At 40.8% G+C, this 27402-nt stretch overlaps 1 protein-coding gene and 1 long non-coding RNA gene across 11 annotated transcripts in view, besides 3 other annotated features; one reads left to right on the top strand and one right to left on the bottom strand.

Annotated features, from left to right (window-relative positions):
- The window catches only part of GMDS (GDP-mannose 4,6-dehydratase), a 621800-nt gene that overhangs the window by 587888 nt on the left and 6510 nt on the right, over nucleotides 1–27402 (bottom strand). The window lies entirely within an intron of this gene.
- Nucleotides 10249–10318: an enhancer, noted in NCBI's record as "active region_23871". NCBI's record gives its function as "activates an Ori minimal core promoter by ATAC-STARR-seq in GM12878 lymphoblastoid cells {active_cell/tissue: GM12878}" and the evidence as "EXISTENCE:reporter gene assay evidence [ECO:0000049][PMID:35858748]".
- Nucleotides 10485–11102: an enhancer, noted in NCBI's record as "NANOG hESC enhancer chr6:2222412-2223029 (GRCh37/hg19 assembly coordinates)". NCBI's record gives its function as "activates a minimal SCP1, AML or CMV promoter by ChIP-STARR-seq in naive and primed H9 embryonic stem cells {active_cell/tissue: H9 hESC(naive and primed)}" and the evidence as "EXISTENCE:reporter gene assay evidence [ECO:0000049][PMID:30033119]".
- Nucleotides 15062–15356: a silencer, noted in NCBI's record as "tiled region #10202; HepG2 Repressive DNase matched - State 5:Enh, and K562 Repressive non-DNase unmatched - State 19:H4K20". NCBI's record gives its function as "represses a minimal TATA promoter and a strong SV40 promoter by Sharpr-MPRA in HepG2 and K562 cells {active_cell/tissue: HepG2 | K562}" and the evidence as "EXISTENCE:reporter gene assay evidence [ECO:0000049][PMID:27701403]".
- Nucleotides 19675–22618, top strand: LOC107986512 (uncharacterized). The gene is made up of 2 exons (XR_007059405.1): nucleotides 19675–19757; nucleotides 20890–22618. It is a non-coding gene; the product is annotated as an uncharacterized LOC107986512 (long non-coding RNA).

A 27402-nucleotide genomic window follows, 5' to 3' on the forward strand; every position in this document is an offset into this window, starting at 1 on the left:
AAAAAATACGTATTTCATGTTAGTAGTTTTTAAATAATCTATGCCGTAGGGTCAGAAAACAGACATTAGTGAGAATGAGCCCAGAATTCTAAATTCCCATGAAATATTTATTCAATTTGAAAACAATGTTACCAAGTTTACGACTTCCAGTCTTTTAGGTGAGCCAAAGTAGGAACTAGGTACTCTTGTAAGACATTATACATAAAAGCCTTCCAAAAATATGACTTTCCTATCCCTTTTCACAGTTTCGTCACCTAAAATTTAACTAAACCTTCAACAATTGGTAATAATTTAACCCATCTCTTTTTAATTACAGTTCATTCAAGTAAGTAAATATAGTATAACTGTGCAGGGAATTTTAATGTCATAGTACCTATTTGTTTTTAATTTAGAACCTGTGTTACATTTCTCTGTAATTCAATTGATTAAGAAGCCAAGTAGATGTGATATTTTGTGATATGATAAAGAAAAGTTATACTACTTCAAACCTGGAGCTTTTAACATATGAATTCAATTATAAAATAGCAATATCTCAACTAACTCCTGCAGTGGCTCTACTGTTATTTTCTACTTGGGAAAGTTAAGAGTTCAAGAAGGTCTTTGTCAAAAACTTAAGCAGGCAAGCATACAGACATGTTAACAATTCAGAATCCACCCAAGCTTAGACAAAACACTGCTTCAAGCAGCGAGCATTGCAGGACCAACATTTCAAAGAATTTTTCCTAAAAAGAAAGAGCAACAAAAAAATCAACAGGACAAAACCTCAAAAACATTACAACAATTTTTAGATAATAATACAAGTTATAGGATATTCCTTATGTGCTTAAAATTTACACTTAAACAATACATATTCTCTAACTGCACAGCCCCAAACCCATGTTTTGCAAGGGAATAAAAACTATAAAGTTATTAAGAATTGCTGGAGAAAACATCCTTAGTGGTCTTTGTGTTAGAAAGGACCTGCTTTCTTTAATTATCAACTTTTCCACTTATACCAAAATTAGATTAACTTGTAAAAAAAAAAAAAAAAAAAAAACTAAATTAGAAACATTGAGCTTACTACTTGAAAACAACATGACATTCATTTTTCACATGTGCAGCTCGACATGGATTCTGACTATAAACCATAAGAGCGTGTGTCATCCTCTGGAAAGCTTAAAAGGGCAGTATTTTCTGAATGGTTACTCCTGTAAAAAATAATCAGTTTAAGTCTTTAAAAAGAAAAATATCACCTTTTCTTATCATTTCTTCTGTATGCCCATGGCATTCTTTTACTTAACTTGTATCCCCTAAGGTTACTCCCTTTCTAGGTGGCTTAGGAACCTTAGGGACAGGGAAATCAAAATTAGCCCCCTACTGTACATTATTTTTGTCCCAGTATTTTTGAATTCAATAAAGGGGGCGTGGGCTCTCACTGCTGATCTCTGTCCACAGTATTAGAAATCATAAAACTGTAATCCACAGCAAAAGCTCACCACAGGTGGCAAATATCACTGAGGGAAGCCTTTTTAGACTGTCCTGACTCAAGAGTCCCTCAAAATACGTAGCAAGGAATCCCTTGATTTATGGTAGTTGGTGAAACCTGGCAGTGGGGGTGGACTCTGCAGCTCTAAATTCTAATTCCAGCTGCTCATTAATCTGTCATTTACTAATGGTGGGACCTTAGGCCCATTAAGCTCTTTGGGTTTCAATCTTTTTCATTTGTGACATGAAAATAACAATACAGACCCAATGGTCTTGACAAAGCAGTTGTAGGAATTAAATGGGATATTTGATGTAAACTCACTTTGAAAAAGGAGAGCAAATAAAATACAAATTGATTTTGTCATAAAGGTACACAAAACAGTTCTACTATAGTTTGGGGTGAAGGAGGGGCACATACGGAGTAAAAAAATAAAACAAGGGTAGTCCCAGAGCAGATTGCTGGGCCGTGCTTCAGTGCAGGGCAGCTAGGAAGAGCACCCTTTAAAAACTAACCCACATAAGGAGAATACCAATCAGCGAGCATTAGAGGACACAGCAGGACCAGAAGAAAGCACAGTGGGGTCTATGAGAATAGGAGGACGAAGGCTAGAATTCAAGCTTAAGGGGGAGAAGGGGTAAACTAACACTCTTCAGAGTTTCTGATTAAATGAAAAAGTGAACAAGGTAATGTTCCTTACATACTTTGAGGCAACAACTAAAACAAGTACTTTAGCAGCAACGTCAAGATGACCTACGGAGTGTTAATTTTTCATTTAAATATTTTCAAAATTAAAATAAACCTGCCTTTGGGCTCCTTAGAAAAAGAGCTGATTCCAGATCTGGTGCAGGAAAAATGTATGAATCCTCTTGTCATACCAGAAAGCAATGAAGCAAAGACTATCAAGCCTGTATCAAAAGGACACAGAGGCCAAATGGAAAGGTTCACAGATTAGGACAACTAGAACTTCAACAATAGGACAACAAGCTTCAACTGACACACATCAACAATATTTCATTCCATGAATTCATAATGGTACTAAAAACAAAATTAGTCACCATTGGAAATTGGTATGAAACCAAGTCATTAAAAACTGGTAAAGAAAAATAACTGATCATTTATTTTGCCTTTTCTATACCTCAGAGTAACCGAATACAGTTGGCCCCTATATCCATCGGTTCCTCATTGAGGATTCAACCAACTGCAGATCAAAAATATGAGGGAAAAAAAATGGATGGTTTTGCACCTGTAATGAACATGTACAGACCTTTATTGTCATTATTCCCTAAACAATACAGTATAACAACTATTTACATAGCATTTTCATTGTATTAGATATTATAAGTAATCTAAGTATGATTTATCATACATAGCAGAATGTGTGCAGGTTACATGCAAATATTATGCCATTTTATTTAAGGGACTTGAGCATCTGTGGATGCTGGTGTCTGCGAGGGTCCTGGAATCTATCCTTCATGGATACCAAGGAATGATTACACTTATGAGCTTCTTTTTTTACATAAATTTTCTTTCTTTCTTTTAAGAGACAAGGTCTCACTATGTTGGTTGGGCTAGTCTTGAATTCATAGCCTCAAGTGATCCTCCCTCCTCAGCCTCCCAAAGTGCTGGGATTACAGGCAAGAGCCACCATATCCAGCAGGAGCTTCTCTTTTTAAAAGTATTCCACTAATCACTGAAGAAAAAACTACAGAATTAGATTATCACAACTTTGCAACTTCTAATGAAATAATGGATAATCTTGAGAATGATCTTCAATGGTTGCTGATATTACATGAAGAAAACCAAGACATCACATGCTTCTTAATGTAAGTACGTTAAGACCAACTGTGAAGTACTTTTGTCTCCACCCCACATCAAGAAAAATCAAGACTGAATCTGATTAAGTCTTTAAATCTAAACATCAATTTACAGGAAATAAAGGGATAAAAGAACACTTTGGGAATATAACCAAATTCAGACTATGGAAGAAACAAAACACAGCAAATGGCTCAGTGTCCTCAACAAACAGATTATAAGAGAGGATGGGGAAGGGAGAAAGAGACACATACAGAGATAGAGACACAGAGAAAAAGAGACAGAGAGAGGATGTTATTAGTCCGTTTTCAAGCTGCTGATAAAGACATAACTCAGACTGGGTAATTTATGAAGAAAAAGAGGTTTAATGAACTCACAGTTCCACATGGCTGGGGAGGTCTCACAATCATGGCAGAAAGCAAAAGGAAAAATGAGAGCCAAGCAAAAGGGTTTCCCTTTATAAAACCATCAGATCTCATGAGACTCACTCACTACCACAAGAACAGCATGGGGGCAACCACCCCCATGACTCAGTGATCTCCCACCGGGTCCTTCCCACAACACGTGGGAGTAATGGAGCTATAATTCGAGATGAGATTTGGGTAGAGATACAGCCAAACCATATCAGTGGGGGAAGGAGGGAGAAAGAGACAGTAGAGAGGGAGAAGAGAGAAAGAGATGGGGAGGGAAGAAAAATAGGAGAAAGGAAGGAAAGGAAGGAAGGGGGAAAGGAGGTAATTAAAGACAGGCTAAGAGACATTGACCAATTTAATGTATCACCTTATTCGGACCCTGATTCAAACAAATTATTAAAAATAATTATGAGACAATTAGTGAAATCTGAACATTGATAGACATCTAATTGTGTTAACAAACTATTATTAACTTAGTAAATACAATAAAGGTTGTGTAGTTACTTTTTCAAAGAGCCAATTAAAGATATATAATATAATAAATACAGCTGAAATCATATACAGTGACCAGAATTTACTGTAAAAAATTTGGAAGGGGATCACGGAAACATAGAGCTACATATGAAATAAATTTGTCTATGAGTTAATAATTACAATTAGAGGATGGGTATGTGGGGGCTCACTATACTATGATTTTTACTTCAGTATATATTTGAAAACTTCCTTAATAAAAAGTTTAAATAAATAAGGCTGCCTTGAATCATTTTGGGAATAGGACAGCATATAGACTTAAAAGATTTTAGATTAAATAGTTTTAAAGGGGACAATATATGCTACTTAAGGAGTTACAATGAAAGATATTTTGATTTCTAGTTACACAGCATTTAAAGTTCAGAAATATGTACATAATGTGTTTAAACTCAATTGAAGAGACTAACAATCTCATTCCATAATTCCTACATTATAAGTTATTTTGAACATTTTAACAAAAACATGATCTTTACTGGCTTAAGTTAGTATGAAACAGATTCTACCTTAATCAGAGTAACAGGCATGTGTTTCCAGAGTGCTATGAACCTCTAAGATTACATGGAGGTGTGTGCAGGTGTAAGCGTGTGTGAGCACGTGTGCACATGGGTAAACTGCACTCACACTTCTTTGTGGGAAAGAGCCTGACTTCAGTTAAAGAGGTCTGAGCTGGTGTGGCAGCACGCACCTGCAGTCTCAGGTACTCAGAAGACTGAGACAGGAGGAGCACTTGAGCCCAGGAGTTCAATGCCAGCCTGGGTCACTGAAACCTGCTTAACTATCAACTTGCACACATACAAATTTTCTAAGGAGGAAGCACATCTGTAATATAATCACTAGGATTCTTCATAGCCCTTTGTGCTATCCCTTTTACACTGCATTTACGTGCTCCAAACACCCCCAAAGTGCTTTAAGTTGGCTGCTTCCCACCCGCCTCTCCTGGGCAGGTGCCTCTGCAGCAGCCCCTGCACCTCAACCCCTTTTCGCAGCCAACTCCCATGGCTCCTCACGGAAAGGGAGCTCAGTGGTTCCTACTCCAGGACACTTCCCCGAGACTTGGCAAGGTTTGCACCATTCTGAGACCCGCACATCAGACCTCCCTGCCAGCCTCCCGCAGCCGCCCTGGCTTCAGCCGCCCACCTGGCCTGAGCGCTCAGCACGTGGACTCGAGCTGGCTCTGCACCCAGCTCAGAACACAGCTCTCAACTGTAAGCATCAGGTAAGCAGCTTGGCATTGGTCACTAGAGGGACAGAGATCATCAGACAGCAGTTTCTGTGAAGCCCACACTGGGACACCTGGCTGCACCCCCTCCCACCTGACCCTCCCCTGCTTCCTGGCCTGCCCTGCTTAATTTCCCCTCACCTCACTCTGCACCACACCAAGAGCTGCCAGTTCTATTACCAGGACACGTGTTTGCCTGTAATAGAGAGCTGCCATATATTTTTAACATACTATAATACTTTAATAATACAACTTAATATTTATATAGTAAAATATATGACATGTAATAATATTTTCAATATTAAGTGAAGGTTTATGTTTGTGGTTTGTTGTTTAACTTTAAGGGAGAAACACATATAATCTCATTAACTTGCTTTTGAACTAAGCCTTTTACTGGGGTAAGGTAGGAGAAACACCTCCCAACTCTGTTTTAAATAGTAAACATCAAAATGTGCTTACAATAATGCTGCAAATAGCTTATAAAGTGATGGTATCTTCTGAAGATTAAACTTGCAAACATCTTAACACACATAAGGCCTGGTATATATAAGCACTCAATATGTTTCAGCTGCTATTAGTGGCTTTGCATGTTAATAACTGAACTATCAGGGCACTTTAATAAAGGTAAGTAAGCCCCTCCCATTCCCCTCCAAGCCTCCCAGTGCCCCCCAAAGCCCTGGATGAACTGAGTTAACTGGAGCCAAAGCCTACCAAGAAACAGCCCTACACATCCTTCTTTTAAAGGAGTAAAGAAAAGATTAGTTTTGATCCAGAAAATAAAAAGTCAAGCAGTATTTTACCCAAGTTAATTTGGACTCTGGAATTATTCTGCCAGTGTCTAAAGGACAAAGTGACTGAAAACAACTGCTCTCGGGCTCCAAATGAGCTGACAAGTGGTTTGTCAAGTGAGTATTCACGATCACCTGTGGGGGTACCCCTAAGCCCCAAAACGCCTTCCAAACCTCCTCACCACCTTTCCTCACTGCTTCCCCAGCACCACCCCAAGCCTGACCATTTTCTCACTTACTCCCCTTTTTGTAACATATGCAGAGTTGGAGCGAACACCTCAGAGAAAAAGAGGAAAAGAAAGAGAAGAAAGTTGAGGATTACGATGAACTCATCTGAATACCAAGACAACACCCAGACTCACCTCTGGAAATGCACAGGTGAAAGAAAAGCAAGGCAGTAAACAGCAAAAAGGAACCCCATCTTTCTCCACCTCAAGTCCACAGAAATTGCCTCCCTTCTAAGTTTTAAACAAGGGATGAAGATATCTTTGACCACCGGAAGTGAAAAATTAGGACAAACCAGTTAGATCAGATCATCCGTAAATTACAAAATTTTTCACCTTATATTGTTTCTTGGACTAAGACACTCTGTCTTTGCCAGAAAGTAGTGATTCACTTTTGCAAATATACTATGATACCACACTTTTACATCTTGCAATGGAAAATAAGCAATTTTTAAAAATTCACCTCAGAGAGTACAGAACATTATCTTAATTTTTATCTTTCCCAAATAATTATTAAATATATTTAATATGCACAATTGTAATTATGAATCTTCTATATATCTTAATGTGCATTCTAAAGTATTTCAGATTACAATCACCAGATCATTTATTGAGAGCTATGTTACGTGCCAACAACCCTGAAATTAGAGTTAATTATCTTCATTCTATACATTATGAAACTGAGGTTTGTAGAGGCTAAAGTTTATTCAGGGTCACAAGGTTCCAAGAGCTAACCTAACACCTGTGCTTTTTCACAGATTCTAAGCATTAGGAATTTCTTTAAAAATCTCTTAATAAATAAATAGGCTGGGCACAGTGATTCAGGCCTGAGTTCTGGCTACTTGGGAGGTTGAGGAGGGAGGACCGCTTGAGCCCAGGAGGTCAAGGCTGAAGTGAGCTACGATCATACCACTGTACTCCAGCCTGGGCGACAGAGCAAGACCCTGTGTGAAAAACAAAAAAAGAAAGTAAACAGGCAACAGGTCGGTCCTCTGAGAAGAGGAAATGGGGAGGTGGCGGACAGGCATAGGACGACTCACCTGAATACCCATTTGCATCTTTATATTTTAAATTAGCTGAATATATTACCTACCCAGAAGATAAATAAAAATTTGGAAATAAAGCAAAATCTAAATAGAAGCCAGATGATAGAGAGGGTAGAAACTTGAGTCCTACAGAACCAGTTTGGCTGAAGAGCATGCTGTCATTAGGCCATCAGCCAACAGTGCATCCTGTTAAGTGAGAAGACAACATAGAACTTACTATATGGACGATATTCGTAATCACTTTACACAGGATCCTCTAAACCAGTGCTTCTCAAACTGTCTGCAGTAAAGAACTAGTTATTGTCAGCATCCTCATTTTAAATTTCTAATCCATCATGAACTGGTTCTTTTGTAAAATACAACTGAAGGTGAGTTACTAAAAAAAAATGATTAGATGTAAATGTCTCAGGAACTTGCTATAAAAGCTTCTAAATTTACTCTCATTTTCTGTACTTACCTTGTCACAGACCAGTAACAAACAGAGCACCGACCACACCAGTTAAAAGACCACACCTCCTGGGCACCAACTTAAACCAGAAACTTTAAAAAAAAATTCCCTCTGATTTCAGTATCATGAATATTGCTCCTGAGCAGCCGGGTCACTTCCGTTTTCTTCAAATGTCATAAATTATACAACTACAGGTTAAGCATCCCTAATCTGAAAATCCAAAATGTCCCCAAATCCAAAACTTTTTTAGTGTCAACATGGCACCAGAAGTGGAAAATTCCACCCCTCTGGTCCCAAGCATTTCAGATAAGGGATATTCAACCTATAATGGTGACAATGAAGATGATGTCAACACTGCAGAAAAAGTGCCCAGAGACAACATGTTGAAAATGTGTGAAGGGCTTATTCAAGGGCTAGGGCAGTGTGCATTCACAATAAAACATGAAATCCTGTCAGTGTATAAAATCAAAGACTTGTAAGACAAAAATCATGGCTAATGAGGCAGATGACTCCGGAGGAAACATCTTTAAAAGCCATCCAGCAGAACGCCTCCTTATCCCTAGAGGACTCAATTTCCCGGTCCTTCAATACTTCTGATGTTTCTTTTCACCCACCAAACACAAGATACAGGTACGGTAACCTTTTAGTCAACACAAGGCCTCACAGATGGAGACGGAAAGCCTGCTGCTGTGTGCTGTTGCTGTGGTTTAGCAGCTGGTACAGATGTCTGGTGATGCTCTGTGCTGCTTGGTTACCCTGACACTTATTTTCTCGCTGTAATAATGGCATGTCATATTTTTTACTGTTAAGTGCTTTAATGTGAATAGATGTGAGACAATAATTGCTTATACGTAGCATATAAATTCAGCCTCAAGAAGGATGGGGATGCCAGACAACTACAGACTGTCCACATGGGTGGCTCAGATAGAGTCACCTTCACTTTCTGACAGTTCAATGTACACAAACTTTGCTACACACATAAAATTACTTAATGTGTTGTATAAAATTACCTTCGGGCTATGTGTTTAAGGTATATATGAAGATAAACAAATTTCATGTTTAAACTTGGGTCCCACCCCCAAGATTTGTATATACATTTCTCTACGTATATGAAAATATTTCAAAATCGGAAAAAAAAAAAATCTGAAACACTTGTGCTCCCAAGCACTTCAGATAAGGGATACTCAACCTGTACTTGTATGTCCCTGTTTGATAATGGTAATAAAGCTGTGGCCTTCTAAGAAGGGATGTACAAGCTCAGGCACAGTGGTTCACACCTGGAATCCAAGCATTTGGGGAGGCCAACGTGGGAAGATCACTTGAGATTAGGAGTTCACAACCAGCGTGGGGAATACAGCAAGACCCCGTCTATACAGAAATTTTTTAATTAGCCAGGCATGGTAATGTACACCTGTAGTACATTACCACAAGTAATGTACTCCTCAGGAGACTGAGGTGGGAGGATTGCTTGAATCTAAGAGTTTGAGGTTACAGGAGCCACTGTACTCCAGCCTAGGCAACAGAGCAAGAAGCAACACCCAATCTCAAACAAATAAACAAAAAAACACAAAATTGTGGCTCAAAGATTACCTCTCAGCTTTATTCCTGGCTTCACGTAGAATTCCAGTTCTCACTTGTAATATCATGATTTATCCATCTGTTTTGACTTCAATTGCATTTTATTATTTTAATCAAGCTCCCTTAAACACAATATTACATTACTTAAAGTAGTGTCATCTAAAATGTTCTTTTTTTTTTTGAGACGGAGTCTTGCTCTGTCACCCAGGCTAGAGTGCGGTGGCGCAATCTCGGCTCACTGCAAGCTCCGCCTCCCGGCCTCCCGGGTTCACACCATTCTCCTGCCTCAGCCTCCAGAGTAGCTGGGACTACAGGCACCCGCCACCACGACCGGCTAATTTTTTGTATTTTTAGTAGAGACGGGGTTTCACCGTGTTAGCTAGGATGGTCTCCATATCCTGACCTCGTGATCCGACTGCCTCGGCCTCCCAAAGTGCTGGGATTACAGGAGTGAGCCACCATGCCCGGCCTTAAAATGTTCTTTTAACAAAGGGATTTTAGTGAATTTTGCAACATGAGTAAATGAATTAATGAGAATATCATATTCACATTATAGCAGTCCCAAGCAAAAAGAAAACAAACAACAACGAAAAAAGAAAATACTCTCAGAATGTGCCATGGGGTATAAAAGAAGAAAAAGAAGACAATCTGTGGCCACTGCCCACAGGGGCAACAGGAAACTTGGTGCTGCCCCTTTAAGAAGCCGCCAGGTCAGTGGGAAGAAAAAGAGAAAATGAAAGTCAAAGGGCCGTAAAGAAACAGGTTTTCTTAAATAGGAAATACAAAAATTAAACAGTAATTCTACCTAAATTATTCTCCAAAATAATGAAAAGCAACAATGTTTCAGTCTAGGCTCCCCTGCATGGAGGTGATTAGCTGGAAGCGACTAGTATGCTGAAGTCTGATAATGACAGCTTTTACACACTGTCACCAAATTACGATGCAAATTCTATGGAAATCATTAGACCAGCACTCACTGTAAGAAGTATGATCTGGGATTGAGTTTTGGAGCTTCTCAGAGGTTTACTCCGATCCTGTCAATCTGACTGCAGAGCTGCTTTCCCTAGGCGTCTAAAATGCTCTCCTGGGGTTAGAGACCACACCCTGGTGCAGTGAATGGGATTCCTCCAATTCCAAATGGCTCCAAAACCTCTGCTTTCTCCCTCAACTGCTTCCATTCTCACTGCTTATCTCCGACCCTTTGGCCCAAATGTCTCCATTCATTCGGTGCCTCATTACACAATTATTGGGTACTCATCAGGTGCTTAAGCACTGGTGAATGTAAACAATAGAAGCTTGGTCCTTGAGGCATACTGATTCTGTTAGGCAATTTAAGAATACTCACAGCAAAGGGGGAATACTGTAATAGACGCAATTACCAGCCAATTAGGAACAAAAAAAGGAAATGCTGTACTAAGAAATGCTGTGCTGCTTGAGAAGGTCAGGGCAGGCTGAGAGTGGAGCACAGGATGAGTGGCAGGTTTCCAGGCGGTCAGTAGGCACCACAGTAGGTGTGGGGGAAATCTGGACAGATACAAACACGAGCAACATTGAGAAAGACAGTGAGGCAGTTAATTTTGTGTGCTAACTAGGATATGCCAACCAGACTTGGTCAAACACCTGCCTAGATGTTGCTCTGAAGGCTATTTTTTAGATGTGATTAACATTTAAATCAGTACACTGAGTAATACTCCCTACAATGTGAGTGGGCTTCATCCACTCAAAGACATTACCCAGGAGGAACAACTAATTCTGCCTCCAAGCGGCCTAGATGTTGGACTGGAGCTGCAACATCAACTCTTTCCTGTGTCTCTAGCTTGCCAGCCAGCCCTGCAAATCTCAGACTTGCCAGCCCCCACAATGACATGAACCAATTCCTTCAAATCAATCAATCAATCAATCAATCAATCAATAGCGCGCTCTCTCTCTCTCTATATATATATACACACATATATATATATCCATATCCATCCATCCCACTGGTTCTGTTTCTCCAGAGAACCATGACTAATGTGGATATGGTGAATTCAAGAAACTATCCGTACAAAATGGCTGGGTTACAAAACACACACAAGCCAGGGGGCATGTGGTGCAAAGGCAGGAAAGTGCTAGTCACAAAGGCACTGGGACACTGGAGAGTTTACACTCCCCCCAGGGCAAGAGAGAGCCACCAATAGTTTAAGCTGAGGAGCGACCATCTGACATGATCAGATGGTCACTCCAGCTAAAACTCACTGGCAGCAAATGAATGGAAAAAAAAAAGACTGGAAGCAGAAGACCAGGTAGGAGGTTACTATAACAGCCCAGGCAGGACAAGGTAACTGATGTGGGCAAGGAAAGGACAAGAGATGACACCGCTACCAAAGCTATGCTAGTGGGGTAAAATCAGCAGGACCTGCTGGTGAAGACATGAGGAGTGAGGGGAAAGGAGGACGATAGGATGACTCCAAGATTTCTGACTTTGGCTCCCAAATGGATTGTGGTCCTGCTTTGAAATAGGGTGGGGAAAAACACAGAGATGATAGAAGGGAGGGACATGTGGAGTAGGAGATGTCTATGAAATACCTACATGGAAATGTTGAGGCATTTGGAACTCAGGGTCTGGAACTCAGGAAACAAATCTGGACTGGAGACAAGGCTTTGGGATTCACAAGGGAAGAGTGACTGCAGTTGTAGACATAGAAAGTGAACAAAGTAGGAGAGAGTCAGGAATGGTATGTTAAGACACACTAACCTGCAAGGGTGGGCAGAACAATGCACTGACAAAGAGGTACAAGGAAAACCAGCAGAGGAGGGAAAATCAAGAGGAAAAGTGACAGTGATAACACACGCCAACAAAGCAAGTAAGACAAGGACTGAAGTTGCAGGGTTTAGCCGTGAAAGGTAATTTAGAAGATCTTATATAACAACAGTTTAGGGTAGGATGGGGAAAGCAACCAAATATAATGAGTTGAACAGTCCTTAAGAGATAAGAAAATGGACATAGTGACTGAAGCCACTGGGCTGTGAAACAAAGGCTGGGGGAATAATGAGAAAGATACTGACAGCCCGTTGTGGAACCCTAGAAATTATCCACCCTTATTGACACAGGTGTTGGGTTACTGTGCTTCATCTTTAATTCAGCTCTGTTGCAGGGATCCCTAATGCAGAACACTGACCACAGGGCCACAATGACTTCTGGACATTAGACTCAGACAACTTGGCATTTTCAGTTTGGTGATGATGTTGGAAACTGTTTTCAATTTGCAACCTAATTGCTTCCCAAATAAAGATCTCAATGATGCTTCTCATAGGAGAAATACATATATTCTAAAGAGTGCACTGAGTAGTTTTTAGCTATTTTACATATAATTTTATAGTTATAGGAGCGAAGATCAGTGATCAGAAATATTTTATGTACAAGTTTGGTATTATGTCTCAGAGAAAAAAAATCATAAGTATAGCATTTGTTAATGAACACCAAGTACCTTCATAAAAACATGTTTATTTGAACATGCAAATAAGAGTTAGTTGTTTACTCTCATCAAAATTATAGCGTGTCTTCAGGAAAAGAATTCTAGGTCAAAGCAGACTAATGTTCAGGACAGCCAAGAGTAAAACATTAATGAATATTTATTAATATTATGTGCCAGACACTGTGTCCTTCAACCCTCACCTATGGCTAGTACCATTATCCTCACTTTACAAAAGAGAAAACTGAGGCACAGAGAGGCTGAATAATTACTTGAAAGTCACAGAACTGAGAACTGGCAGAGAGGAGATTTGAACGCACGTACGTCCACACGATGTCAGACGCTACCTGAGATGAACAGTAAGCCTTGGCCGGGCATGGTGGCTCAGGCCTGTAACCTCAGCACTTTGGGAAGCCGAGGTGGGTGGATCGCTTGGGCCCAGGAATTCAAGACCAGCCTGGGCAACATGGTGAAACCTCGTTTCTATAAAAAATACAAAAAAAAAAAAAAATTAGCTGGGCATGGTAGTGCACAACTGTGGTCCCAGCTACTCGGGAGGCTGAGGCAGAAGTATTGTCTGAGCTGGGGAGGTCAAGGCTTCAGTAAGCCAAGACTGCACCACCGCACTCCATCCTGAGTAACCAAGCAAGACCCTGTCTCAATAAATAAACAAACAAACAAATAAATAAGCCTTTATCCTATGATCTCATTAAAGACAGAGGTGCCCCCTAACTTGCCCTTTAACTTGCAGTCTTGATCCCTGCAACAAAGCTGAACTAAAGATGAAGTGCAATACCAAACTGCTCCCTAACTTGTACCTTCTCCTGCTCCTATGCCACAGCTCTCTTCCATAAGTTCATTCTGAAGAGTCCTAGGCTGTTCTATGCAAATGACGAATCATTTGCCAACCCTTAGATTTTCCGGCTTGCATCCGGATCAGTGTGTTGGCTGTAAACCAACCAACACAGATGATCAATATTACAGCACAAAGGAAGTAAAAAGCCTTTGTGATTATCCAGTAAGCTAGGGATCAGAAAAGAATGATTGCAAAATCCTAACGTACAGTAGAATAAGGAAATGTTTCCAGGTATTTGTCAGAAAAGGGCCAGCTTCCATCTGGACCATGACCTACAAACAACATTAATGCTCCTAACAGAACTATTTAAATAAGATTCCACTGTTTGTTCTCTGAAATCTCCTGGGACACAATGACTACCTAGAAGGTAATCAGACCTCGACCACAGGAGAGCCAAGGACTGCCATTCCAGCTTTCCTGCCATTCTCACTTCCTGGCAGGTGAACTCTGCTCCCATTCCAGCCCCTGAAAGCCTAACCTAAGAAAAGAAAAAAAGAGAGAGGAATAGAAAAGAAAAAACTGTGAAAAGAAAGAAATGAAATAGAGGCAGAAAACAAAGAGGAGGGAGAAAGGAAACAATTACACTAGAGGTAGTTTCTGCTAGACCAACACTGAGCCAGGCCATCCCAGTTTTCACTCTCTTCTGGACACTCACCAACAATATACTTTAATTTTGTCAAAACTGCCTTTGGGTGAGGCATCCTGATTCCTGGGTAGAAATAACATGAAACCCGTGAAGTCAGAGACTCTTCTATAGTAGAGACCCAGAATGCAGTTCACTAATTTTGAAAGAATTTGTCAGAGCTGTAGGAGACCTGTGAGATCATGATTGCTGTTCCCATCTAAGAGTTAGATTCTGCCTATGATAACTGTCCATAAGGGCAACATTCCAACTAAATTTTCGCATTACTGTGTGCTACAATTAATTTTTTTAATCCAGTTAATAAAGTGCTTTCACAGAGTATATCATTAACAAAAGTTAATCGATAAATACTCCAGAGCAATAGCCCCAACAACAGAGATATTATAACCCTCCTATCAGAATACACAGAAATGGAATATGAGTATCTGGAAATGCAAACTTCAGCAAACATCACAGGAATTTTTTTAAGTGTTTGCATATAACATGTCAAAAACTAATGAACTCTGATTCTACTAGCATTTACTCTCCTAAATTCTATCACTCAAAATAATATGAAACCATTAAAAACACCTAACATGTGAACTAAAATATACACACAAATGTCTATGACAATCATAATAGGAGGTGCTAAGCTGGTTAACTAACAAGATCTCTTGAGGCTGGGATTTTCCTCACCCTAGACCCCCAGATGCATTCATCCCTGGAGTCCCTCGTACTCAATCAGTACTTGATGACTCTGAAAGAATCATCCAGGAATGATTCCAGATGGAATTTAAGTTCCATATCCAACTCAAGGCCAGTAACATTTGCTGAAAAGCAGTGAAGTCAATCAGTAACAAGTTAGTCAAAACAATGAAGAAAAGATAATGCAGGCAGTAATTACTTCTGAGTGGTGGGATTGCGGGTGTTGTTTTTTTTCCCCCTGAAACTTTATATCCTCCTATACTTCCAATTTTTCAATAGTGAACATTATTTTTACTATTCTGAATAAATGTTAAGGAAAAAAGTTTATGAAATATATATATTTCCATATATATGTCATATATATATATAAAATGTTTCAAGTCACTACTACGGTCCCCATAAATGAATGGTTCTCAACCACAACACCTCACTTTTCAAACACCTCAGAATGTTTCTAAAAACAGCCAGCTCCAAGTTCTACCCTAAGCCCACTGAACTGCATAGAAGAGCCAAGAGTTATTCAACCTGCCCAAGTAATTCTATTACACCACCAACATCAGAACCATGCTTTATGGATGCTTCAACTACAAATGGCAAGTTTCTTATCTTTGGAGAGGACTGAAATCAAAGGTCAGAACATCAACAAAAAAGCAAAGTATTCTTTTGGAACAAGCTCCATATCTAGAGAAACAGCTGATTCTAGTGAGAATTTCAGTAGTTCCTAGAGAGTGACTGTGGAAAAGGCAAGCACAGCAGGAGACACCTGAGATTGCACTGGATGCAGGGAGTGAGGTGCCAATTGTGGCTGGAACTATAGGAAGGAGCGGGCAGGCCAGAGCTGTTTCCCTGGGATTCCAGAACAGAAGGCTGTGCCACACAGAGGTCCCCTGGGTCACAATAGCAGCTGAATCTCAGTGGCCATGACAGCAAGGCAACAACGGGGCCAGCTCCCCAAGGTCCATGTAAGTGCAGCTGCCCAGGACTCCCCTTGCTGTCCAGACATAGGCTCTCCTACCTGCTTCCAACTTCAGTTCTGTGGCATTTCCAGGAAATATGGGTAGTTAACACATAACCATGCTCAATGAGAGCCAACCTGTGGCTGTGCGGCCCTTTCTCGGCACGTGGCCCAAGCCTGTGCTGGGTCTACGCAGTGAAGTACAAGGTAAAAAGAAGGCAAGCAGCTTCTTACACCTCCCTCCCAGTGCTGAACCTAGACAAAATGTACCCCTCTTAGCACCTTTAGGAACTTTTCCTAGAGAAACAAGAATGGCAGGCACCTATCTGAGTGTGCTTGGTTCCTCTTGGATATAAAGTGCAAGCCTGTGTCACCTTCTGTGTCACTCAGGATTAAACGTTTATGACATCCCACCACTGATCTAAAAGGATCCACTCACAGAGGAAAATGAAGACTGAAAAGCCAACACCAACACCACCCTTCTGTGCTTCTCAGCACTTCTGGGCCTTCACGTCCTCCTTTTCCTCCCCCACCTTTATAAGCACTCTCCTTTTCTTCAATATACACTCCAAACCCTCTCCGTCCCACCTTAAGTGATCTGCCTTGAGCTGAGCCCGTTTTTTAAACAGGTAAAACTGCTTTTAAGAGAAAGAAACATTTCTCCCATGCAGAGTACAATTAAGAAAGCATCCCTTCCCCATCCCCAGGGCAGCCATGCCTCCTTCCACCTAAGCTTGGTGAGCTTTGGAACTGGTGGTAAGAACTGATCCAAAGTGTGTGCTTTAACAAATCCTTCCAAAGAAAACTTGGAAATCAGCTATTTAAACTTGGAGTCCACTTCTCTGTAGGAAGGGCATTCATTTGAACACAAATTTAGTTCCTGCGCCATAATGTGCAGTGTTAAGAGTAACCCTGAACAATGCATTTGCTGCATGGAATAGCTTTCTCAGTACAACTGTGTAGTGCTGTAGAGCTCCCTTTTTGCCCCTGGAATTAGCCCCAATACCCCCCGTTGACAGCTTCAACAAGTGGGATCCAGGTATGACATCTGAGAAGTGAGTAAAATAAGGCTCCAGTCGACAATGGGGCAATGGAAGTGGCCAGGCAGCCAGGCTCTGGGCAGCAACCACACCAGAGGCTAGCTCCTGGAGGCAAACTCTATGATTGATGTGATGAAGTGGGGAAAGGGAAGGGGAAGAAGACAGGAAAAGCAAGAGTCCCTGAAGCAAACTTCTAGTGGTGGGGGTCTCCCGTGGCTCCACTTTTCCCCAGGGCTTCACTGCAGATGGGGTGAGAGAGGGCATCAGCCAATCACTGTCCAGAGGTAGGACACTGCCCGCATCCAGTCTGGTATACAAGAAAAACCAAAGTGATCCTCCAGGATAACAATGTTCTCATTTCCAGAAGATCATTACGCAAGGCACTTTCTTTCGTCCTAGTACAGATAAGGGTGGTTCAAAAAGACTCAAAAGTTTGCCCATGGGCTGTGCATGGTGATTCATGCCTGTAATCCCAGCACTTTGGGAGGCCAAGATAGGAGAATCACTTGAGCCCAGGAGTTCAAGACCAGTCTGGGCAACATAGAGAGACCCTGTTTCTACAAAAAAAAAAAAAAAAAAAATACAAAAATGAGTCACGTGTGGTGGCACACACCTGTGATCCTAGCTACTCAGAAGGCTGGGGTGGGAGGATTAGTTGAGCCCAGCATGTCCAGGCTGCGGTAAGCAAAGATCACGCCACTGTACTCCAGCCTGGGCAAGAGCAAGACAAAAAAAAAGTAAATTTGCCTGTGACACCCAGTGAGTACTGAGGTCAGGAATCAAACTCATGTTCATCTTTCTCTCCTCTCCCTTTACAGATTTATCTTAATTCCAAGGCCAGAATTCAGGTACCAGAAATGGGTACTTTGCCCAGATCATCCCTGACAAAAATATTTGCCTATTAACACAATCTTACTACAACTAAATAGAAAACAAAAACTGTTGACCTATAAGATAAATGAATCTTTCAAAGCATTATTTGGTTGCTCTACCTGAAGAATACTAAATTGTAACCCAGTCATCCAGCATGAGACTCTACCTGTAAACCTCGAAGGCTTATTCCTGCCTAGAGCCCCAGGGAAGCAGCTTCCACCTCCACATTCCAAGCTGCCATGGAAACAACAATGCTGCCTATTCCACTACAGGCTTTGCGAGACTCCTCTGAAGACCTCCCTCCAGAGTCCACAGTTGCGAGACTCCTCTGAAGACCCCTATCCAGAGTCCACAGTTGCGAGACTCCTCTGAAGACCCCTCTCCAGAGTCCACAGTTGACTTCCTCCTCAGAGTCCTACCACAGGATTAATTCCTGAAATCTTTCCCAAATCCAAACGTTAAGCATTATCTACATCAGTCAATGTCCTACTAAAAGTTTCCATTACACATGCTATAAATTTTGACTGATGAAAACTAAAAATCTAGATGCTTTTATTAGCTACGTATATTTACATCTATTTTCTGAAACGTATATTTAAAGAGAAGAAAAACCACAGCCCATAAAGGTTAAGTGATCTCCATTCTTCAAAGACCTAAGCAGTAATCTCAGGTTTCCTGGATCCATCCCTAAGCCCTCCACTAACAGCGATGTCCTATATAGAGAATCTGCTAAGATTTCTAGTTGGGCTCCCAATTATTTCCCTGGCCTAGATAAAATACTTCCTTGTTTTTAGCAACTAAAATGAAATTTTCCATAGTAACAATCTGGCAATAGTATAAACTTTTGGTAACGCTTAAATAGGTTAAAACCTATATGTTCAAACAGTAAATATTAAAAGACAACTCAATGGAAAGAAAATACTACATAAATTTAAATAATTTGAACTTACTAAATTAGTCAAAATAGCAAAATTGATAAGGGATAAAATTAAAAACCACCGTTGTCCATAAAAAAGCCAAAAGGAAAAAAAAAGGGACTTCAATACTTGGTCAACTCTTCCTATTTCTCCTTTTCAAGGTTTATATTTAAATGTAGAAAAGCAAAACTTTAACAAAAATCTACTATGTATTATTACTTCTCCTCAAAAAAAAACCCCAAAACCTTCCCATCCACCTTGAGAAATTCACTTAATGCATTTAGTATTCTCTTCCCCCCTCCCACCCCCCCCCCCCGTTCCTTCCCCTAATACCCAGGGTTGACCAACTCACAAAGCTAGCAGGATGCCTAAGTCAACATTATAAGGACAGGGGGACAAGAAAGAGTGCCTGGTCAAAACAACAAGATCTGTCACCACCCAGAAGGTCCCCAAAACTTGATTTCAGTTTCAAGTTCCCAAGTTAAACCTGAAACAACACAATGATGATTTGAATATTCCTTCCAAGCACACTCAGAGACTAGGGAGAGCTGCAGAAACAGAGCTGTAAGGATTCCCTGGGTATCTTGACTCCTAAGTTCTGCTAGTATATTCTTTGTGAGGTATGAAAAGTGCCCAAGGGCCAGGAACAGTGGCTCACACCTGTTATCCCAGCAGTTTAGGAGGCCTGAGGTGGGCGGATGGCTTGAGCTCACAAGTTTGAGATCAGATTGGGCAACGTGGCAAAACCCCATCTCTACAAAAAGAAAAATACAAAAAGTAGCCAGATATGGTAGAACCCACCCAAAGTCGCAGGTACTCAGGGGGCTGAGGTGGGAGGATGGCTTGAGCCCAGGAGGCGGAGGTTGCAGTGAGCTGAGATGGCTCCACTGCTTTTCAGCCTGGGCAATAGAGCCAGACCTTGTCTCCAAAAAAAAAGCCTAAGGAATTTGCTCAGCATGCCAAAGGAAGTGGTTAAAATGAAATCTGAAACAACCAACAAACGAATGCTTACCAAGCACCTTTTATGGTGCTCAATATCAAATGGGTACCAGGAAGAATGAAGTATTATAAAGTATAGTAACTCCAAATTCTTCCAGACAGCCCTGGTTTCCAACATTCAGTTCCACTCTAGATCATTTATATATGAGATAACGTGTGTCCTACCTTGGAGTCAAGAAAAAAAATGGTCACCACAGGTTTAAGACATGATCCCTATCCCCAAGAAGTTCATATTTCGGTTCTGAGCAAATGAAATCAGATAAATGAAATTGTTTTTCATTTCAGAATCTGAACAAATGAAATTGGACAAATGAAATTTTTTTAATAGTATTCAATAGGTGGTTCCCAAATGTACTGTATGGACTAATGCCAATCCATGACACATTTTTAACCCGTTCTTTAGCAAAATGAAAAAAATGGAAATGAGAAAAAGTAGTTCACATAGTCAAAAGTATATAATTTGGTGAGTGTTCTTTATTCTGGGAGCATGTTCTTCTTACATTTTGGTGTGTAAAACGGGTTTTTTTTTTTAAATACTGTGATAGCAGACAGCAATTTGTTACTCCTAAGATTCTTACTTTCAAAATAACCTAGCCACCATATATCAATCTCAGGTTTTTACCAGTCTATGTAAAATCTAACACTCCATGAGCTACTGACATTCAGGATTTTTACTCATTCATTCTCCTAGACCCCAAAAGGGGGTACAACAAACACTTTATCCTCAATTCCTGATGCCCCTTTTGAAACATCAAACCATAACAATCTTTGTTTGTCAGCACTTATGGCCCATGAAATTTACTCACAACACTCTAATCAAAATCACAACCTCACTGGTGTGATCTACCACTCACATCCACTTTCATGTTTCTTAGAGGACTTCAAAACTGGTTTGTCATCTTACCGTCCACCATCATATATATCATCATTTTCTATCTTCGTTCAGGTAGGAAGCCACAAAAACCAATCTGCAGCTAATTGAATCAGAAATCTATGAAAGGTACAGTGCAGACTGAAGAAGATGACTGAGAGGCTTCATAATGAGGAACAGCACCCAAAATCACGCTGCGGAACAGCTCTCAGAGAACAGCACTGCAGTGACAGAGACGGCACCACTGCAGCACCAGCGCCGGTGCAGGACTGGATGCTCATGCACATCTCAGGCCTCCAGATGCCCGCGACCTTCTCCCCTTCAGCCTCTTCCATAACCACACTACTCCTTTCCTCCATCGGCTTCTCCCCTGACTGCACAGAAGCCCATTTCCCCACCATGACGAAAAAAAACCTTTCCCAGATCTAAGGCAAAGGGAAAAACATACAAGACAGAATGTAAATTTGTGCTGCCAGGGGCTGGGAAAGGAGGGGATGGGGAGTGACTGATGAATGGGTATGGGCTCTCCTTCCGGAGTGATCAAAAAGTGTTCTGGAACTAGAGTGGTAAAGAAGGTACGACCTCGTAAATGTACTAAATGTCAGTAATGATAAATTGTATGTTACATGTTACCACCAAAACAACAAAAACATCTCTGGCCTCCCTCAGATTCCACGATATTACTCAGTACTTTTGTTCTCTCTCCTCTCCCCTCCCTCCCTAGCTTCCTTCTCTTCCAAGCCTGAAATGCAAACATTTTCCTCCTCCTCACTCTCATCCTTCTGTCTCCACATTCTCTCATTTGGAGATATCATCTATGATCAGTAGCAATTCCACTATCCACCCTAAGGAAGAGAGCTCTACAGCAAACCTTAGAAAACTTTTTCAGTGAAGGGCCAGAGAGTAAACATTTCAGGCTTTCAAAGCCACATGGTCTCTGTTGCAGCTATTTAACTCTATGTGGAAGCAGCCAGAAACAATAAGTAAACAGGTGTTCTATGCTCTAACAAACCTTTATTTACAAAAACAGGGCTTGCCGTGGTGGCTTACACCTGTAATCCCAGCACTTTGAGAGGCTGAGGTGGGCAGATCACTTGAGGTCAGGAGTTCTAGACCAGCCTGGCCAACATGGAGAAACCCCAATTCTACTAAAAATACAAAAATTAGCCAAGCATGGTGGCAGGCACCTGTAGTCCCAGCTACTCAGGAGGCTGAGGGATGAGACTCTCTTGATCCCGGTGGGGGGCGCCGAAGTTGCAGTGGGCAGTGATCGCGCCACTGCACTCCAGCCTGGACAACAGAGGGAGACTCCATCTCGAAAAACAAAAACAAAAACAGGAGGCAGCTGGACTTGGTCCAGGGGATACAGTTTGTCGATCCTGCTCTAAAGTATGATACACTGCACATCTACATTCCCATTCCTTCTTATATGCAGTGTATTTCCTCCAGGATTTCTGAGGAAGTATGAACTCCAGATGTCATTCAATAAATATCTATTGAGAGCCCACCATATTTCAGACACTGCACTAGGGATACAGCAGTAAAATACAGTCTTGTCCTCATGGATTTACACAAACTGAATGTCATTGGTATCAACCATAAAAATAAAGACAACAAACAAAACAAAAACCCTTACTTCTCCTGACTTTCCCAATCCAACAATCCAATCAGTAGCTAAGTCCTTTTATTCTCCTCTCAAACAGCTTTCTTATTCCTTCCTATCCATCATACCTGAGGCTTCACCAAGAACAAGCATTCCTTGTGTACAAAAAGCAGACTCTCTTAAATAAAATATGCAGATTTCTAGATATTTCAATGATAACATCAAAATTCATGAAAATCAAAACAAGATCCTACTGGGAGGCCGAGGCAGGCAGATCACCTGAGGCCGGGAGTTCGAGACCAGCCTGGTCAACGTGGTGAAACCCCATCTCTACTAAAAATACAAAAAATTAGCTGGGCATGGTAGCGGGTGCCTGTAATCCCAGCTACTCAGGAGGCTGAAGCAGGAGAATCACTTGAACCCAGGAGGCGGAGGTTGCAGTGAGCCAAAATCGCACCACTGCACTCCAGCCTGGGCAATAAGAGCGAAACTCCGTATCAAAAAAAATAAAAAAAATAAAATCCTAGCAAACTTACAAGATTTGAAAAGACATAAATTTTCTGACCTCGAGGGCAGGCCCTATTAGCATATGGTAGACACCAGAGAAACATTCTCAAAAATGATAGGAGTAATCTCTAAATGAAGGTATGAGAGTTTACATCAGGTACAATTTTAAAGCAAAAAAAGAGAAAGCATTGAAATTAATGCAAGAAGTTTACGGTCACTCAGTGAGTAAATTAAAAACAAGTGAGGACCTGTAATCCCAGCACTCTGGGAGGCCAAGGTGGGCGGATCACCTGAGGTCTGGAGTTCGAGACCAGCCTGACCAACATGGAGAAACCCCGTCTCTACTAAAAATAGAAAATTAGCCGGGCGTGGTGGCACATGCCTGTAATCCCAGGTACTCTGGAGGCTGAGGCAGGAGAATCGCTTGAACCTGGGAGGTGGAGGTTGCTGTGAACCAAGATTATGCCATTGCACTCCAGCCTGGGCAACAAGAGCAAAACTCCATCTCAAAAAAAACAAAAAAACAAAAAAACAAGTGATGATACGTGTACACAAAGGTGCCACAGCCAACAGAGTTAGAATCATCCCCTTAGGGGTGATGGGGAAGCAGGCATATTCTTCTTCAGGGCTGGAAAAATGTCCTTCTGAGCTAGACTTCTTCAGGCCAACTGAGACTAATCTATCAGATTAAACTTACTAAACATTCCAACAAAATCAAACCTACTATACTTCCCATGCCTATACATACAGGGAAATATAAAATGCCTCCCCCAGGGACAATGCCTAATTCATTCCATACTAAGCACCCAAATCCAGGTCTTATCATTTTGTTCTTCAAGCAAAAAGAAAACAAATGCAAAGCTGGAGCTCCCCATAGTCTGCATGGAGACATAAGAGGAAAACTGGGGCCAGGCACAGTGGCTGACACCTGCAATACCAGCACTTGGAGAGGTTGAGATGGTAGAATTGCTTGAGCCAAGGAGTTTGAAACCAGCCTGAGCAGCACGGCAAGACCCCATCTTAACAAAAAAAAAAAATACAAAAATTAGCCAGGCATAGTGGTGCACATCTGTGATCCCAGCTTCTCGGGAGGCTGAGGCCAAAGGATCGCTTGAGCCCAGGAGGTTGAGGCTCCAGTGATCTGTGTTTGCACTGCTGCACTCCAGCCTGAGCAAGACCCTTTCTGGAAAATAAAAAAAAATAAAAAAAATAAGAAAAAAAAAAAAAGAGGAAAACTGGTCTGTGTTGCCAATCTGGTAAGTTTCAGGAACAAGGCAAACAAATGGTGTTGGGAGCCAGTTCTCTATGGGTCTCTCCAGTTTCTGCATGTCTTATGAGCAGATTGCACTGACAGCTTTTATTGGCTACTATCTTTCCTGTACAGGACATCTGTAGATAGCATTTTAAGATAGCAATAGTGTTTCTCTCTGGAGCAGATGGAAGATTTGTTTGCTATGCAGAATAATAAAAATAATGTCTCCCTCAAAGCAAAGGCTGGGCAGGATTATTAGTTCCCTTATAAAAAATTGGGGTTTCCCAATCTCAGATTTTCTCAACTGTGGTGCATACCCACTGCATGGGCAACATCCACCTAGACCCACCCAGCCACCGTGTTACCCACATGGTCTTTGAGGGGCAAGAAAATACTATACAAACAGAGCTGTCACAAACATGAAGTTCATACTGCCTGCTGACCCAGGAGTGCTGTGTCTTCTGCCATCATCCGTGGAATTTTAAGAAGCTAACTTGTTAGCCTGCAAGTAAGGTAAAATCTCAGGCCTCCCACAATTCTTGACAAACAGGGTTTCTGCTGTCTTTCTCCTTGACTGGGTTTACTCCAACAAGCATATATGCCACACTTGCATTTTGTCCTGCAGGTCTCTTGCAACAAAGCTTCCATTTTGAAGGATTCCACTGTAAACTACAATAAACACGTTTATCAATATTGATCACCAAAAAATACTACTAGTGTCTGCATATACTTGCAAAATTCCAATTCATCATTTTTAAAGAACCGATGTAAAAATATAGTTCGAATAAAGCAATACTAAAAATCTAACTTTTGTGAAAAGTGATAGAAATACAGTACCATTCTAAGAAACATAGAAAAATCATGTTTTGATTTTAAAAGATTTCTAAAAGTGCCAATTAGAGGCTTTTTCACTCAGCATTAAGGAACATATTTTTGTTAAACATGATCAAGCAATTCATTTCACATTACAATCAAACCAAATGCTCAAGCATAATATATATATAATACAACCAAGCTTTGGTGGTTCATTTTCCCAAGTGTAATTAGTCAGTATAAAGAAATACTTTCTATAAATCCCTAGTAAATACCTTTATTTTTTCACTCTTAAGTTTAAAAGAACTTAGTATGAAGATCTGAGAAAGGATTCCCCTAGAATCACATGTGGTAAATTGTTTAAAAGGCACAGTATGAACAGTCTGAAACAAATGAAGTAAATACCCTTCAGCCAAGAACGTCACTGCATATAAAATCATCTAACCTCAAGTCTATGTAACTCAATTCTACATAAGTAAATGCCAAAATAATATCCTGGAAAGCTGAGTCATTTCAATGAGTAAATTTATATAAACAATTGGGTTACTACTTATGGTAAGTCACAAGATTTTGGCAGGAAAATTGCTTACTAGCTTGCCAAAGACTAGGTTTGGCACATTGGTGCCCCACTGCCAAGAACATTACTGATAATCAGCTTTCTATCCTATAGGATTACCTTTCAGACATGTTTTACTCACTCATTTCCTATGTATTAAGCTTATACAGGAATGGTTAATGCAACTGAGCACCTTACTTCTGGAAGTGTGAGATTCCCAAAATTCCTCAAGAAAGGAAGAAAAGCATGAGAAATTGTAAATTGGAAGTTTGGAAGTACCTTTTTTTTTTTTTTTTTTTTTGAGACAAAGTCTCGCTCTGTCACCCAGGCTGGAGTACAGTGGTATGATCTCGGCTCACTGCAAGCTCTGCCTCCCGGGTTCAAGCGATTCTCCTGCCTCAGCCTCCCGAGTACTTGAGATTCCAGGCGCCCACCACCATGCCAGGCTAATTTTTGTATTTTTAGTAGAGATGGGGTTTCTCCACGTTGGCCAGGGTAGTCTTGAACTCCTGGCCTCAGGTGATCTACCCACCTTGGCCTCCCAAAGTGTTGGGATTACAGGCATGAGCCACCTCGCCCCGCCTGGAAGTATCTTTAACATTAGGAAATGCAAATAATCAACAAATAAATAAAGGAGAAAGAAAGGAGAAAACTGAAATATACTAAGAATAGCCTGGTTAACATCAATCATGAAACTAAAGGGAAAGTGTTAATTTTCATGCCTTCTAAGTAAGAGCTACAGAAAGTTCTGGGAGACAGGGAAGAAGACTGGCTAAAGGTACAGCACAGCAGCATGGCCACCTTTAGGACTTGCCCACTCTACAGCAGCCACCTCTGAGCACTTTTAAGTCATTTTTAAGACAAAGAGGCCAGGTGCAGTGGCTCACACCTGTATTATCAGCACTTGGGAGGCCAAGACCAGAGGATTGCTTGAGGCCAGGAGTTCAAGACTAGCCTGGTCAGCTGGTGAGATCCTGTCTCTACAAAAAAAAAAAAAAAATAGTAAAAAAATCAGTCAGGCTTGGTGGCAGCTACCAGGGAGGCTGAAGCAGGAGGATCACCTGAGCCCAGGAGTTCAAAGCTGCAGCGAGCTATGATTGCACCACTGCACTTCAAACTCCAGAGGAACAAAATAATTCACTGTCTTCCCCCAGAAAACTGATTTTCCTTCCCAGTGGTTGCATTTCTGGCCATACTATTACCATCCAACCTGTCACCAAAATGCATTTGCATCCTTGATCTCATTATCCTCATACTTTTACTATTCTCATTCATCCTACATACCCCTAACTGCATTCCCAAGCACTTCTCCATCCTTCTCTCATTCCTTCCCACTGTGAGAACTTATTCATAATAAATAAGAACTATCACTTCATAAACACTACATGCCAGGAACAGTGATAGGCCTTATTATAATATAATCATCATTTGTAATCCACACATCAATTTGTGATGTGGGCATAATTAACTCCATTTTTCTACCCAAGAAAAACCCAAGAATTTAAAACTCCTTCCTCTATCCTAATTTCCCTGATTTGAACTTTACAAACATGTACCAAAATATCACACATACCCCATAAATATGTACAATTATTATGTACCAGTTAAAAAAAAAATCGTTCCTCACCAAAAAGTCACTTCATTCATTTGATATGTCCTACAAAGATGGACAGCTCCAAGTTTTCACTCTATCCTTACAAATTCTGACAACATACAACTCATATGAATTTCTTCTTAGTTTACAAACTTAATTTCAAATTCAGTAAAATTAATAGTTCATTGGTTTCATTTAAAAAAAAAACTATCCTGGCCGGGCACGGTGGCTCACGCCTATAATCCCAGCACTTTGGGAGGCCA

Source organism: Homo sapiens, chromosome 6, assembly GCF_000001405.40.
Source record: "Homo sapiens chromosome 6, GRCh38.p14 Primary Assembly".
Taxonomy (NCBI): domain Eukaryota; kingdom Metazoa; phylum Chordata; class Mammalia; order Primates; family Hominidae; genus Homo; species Homo sapiens.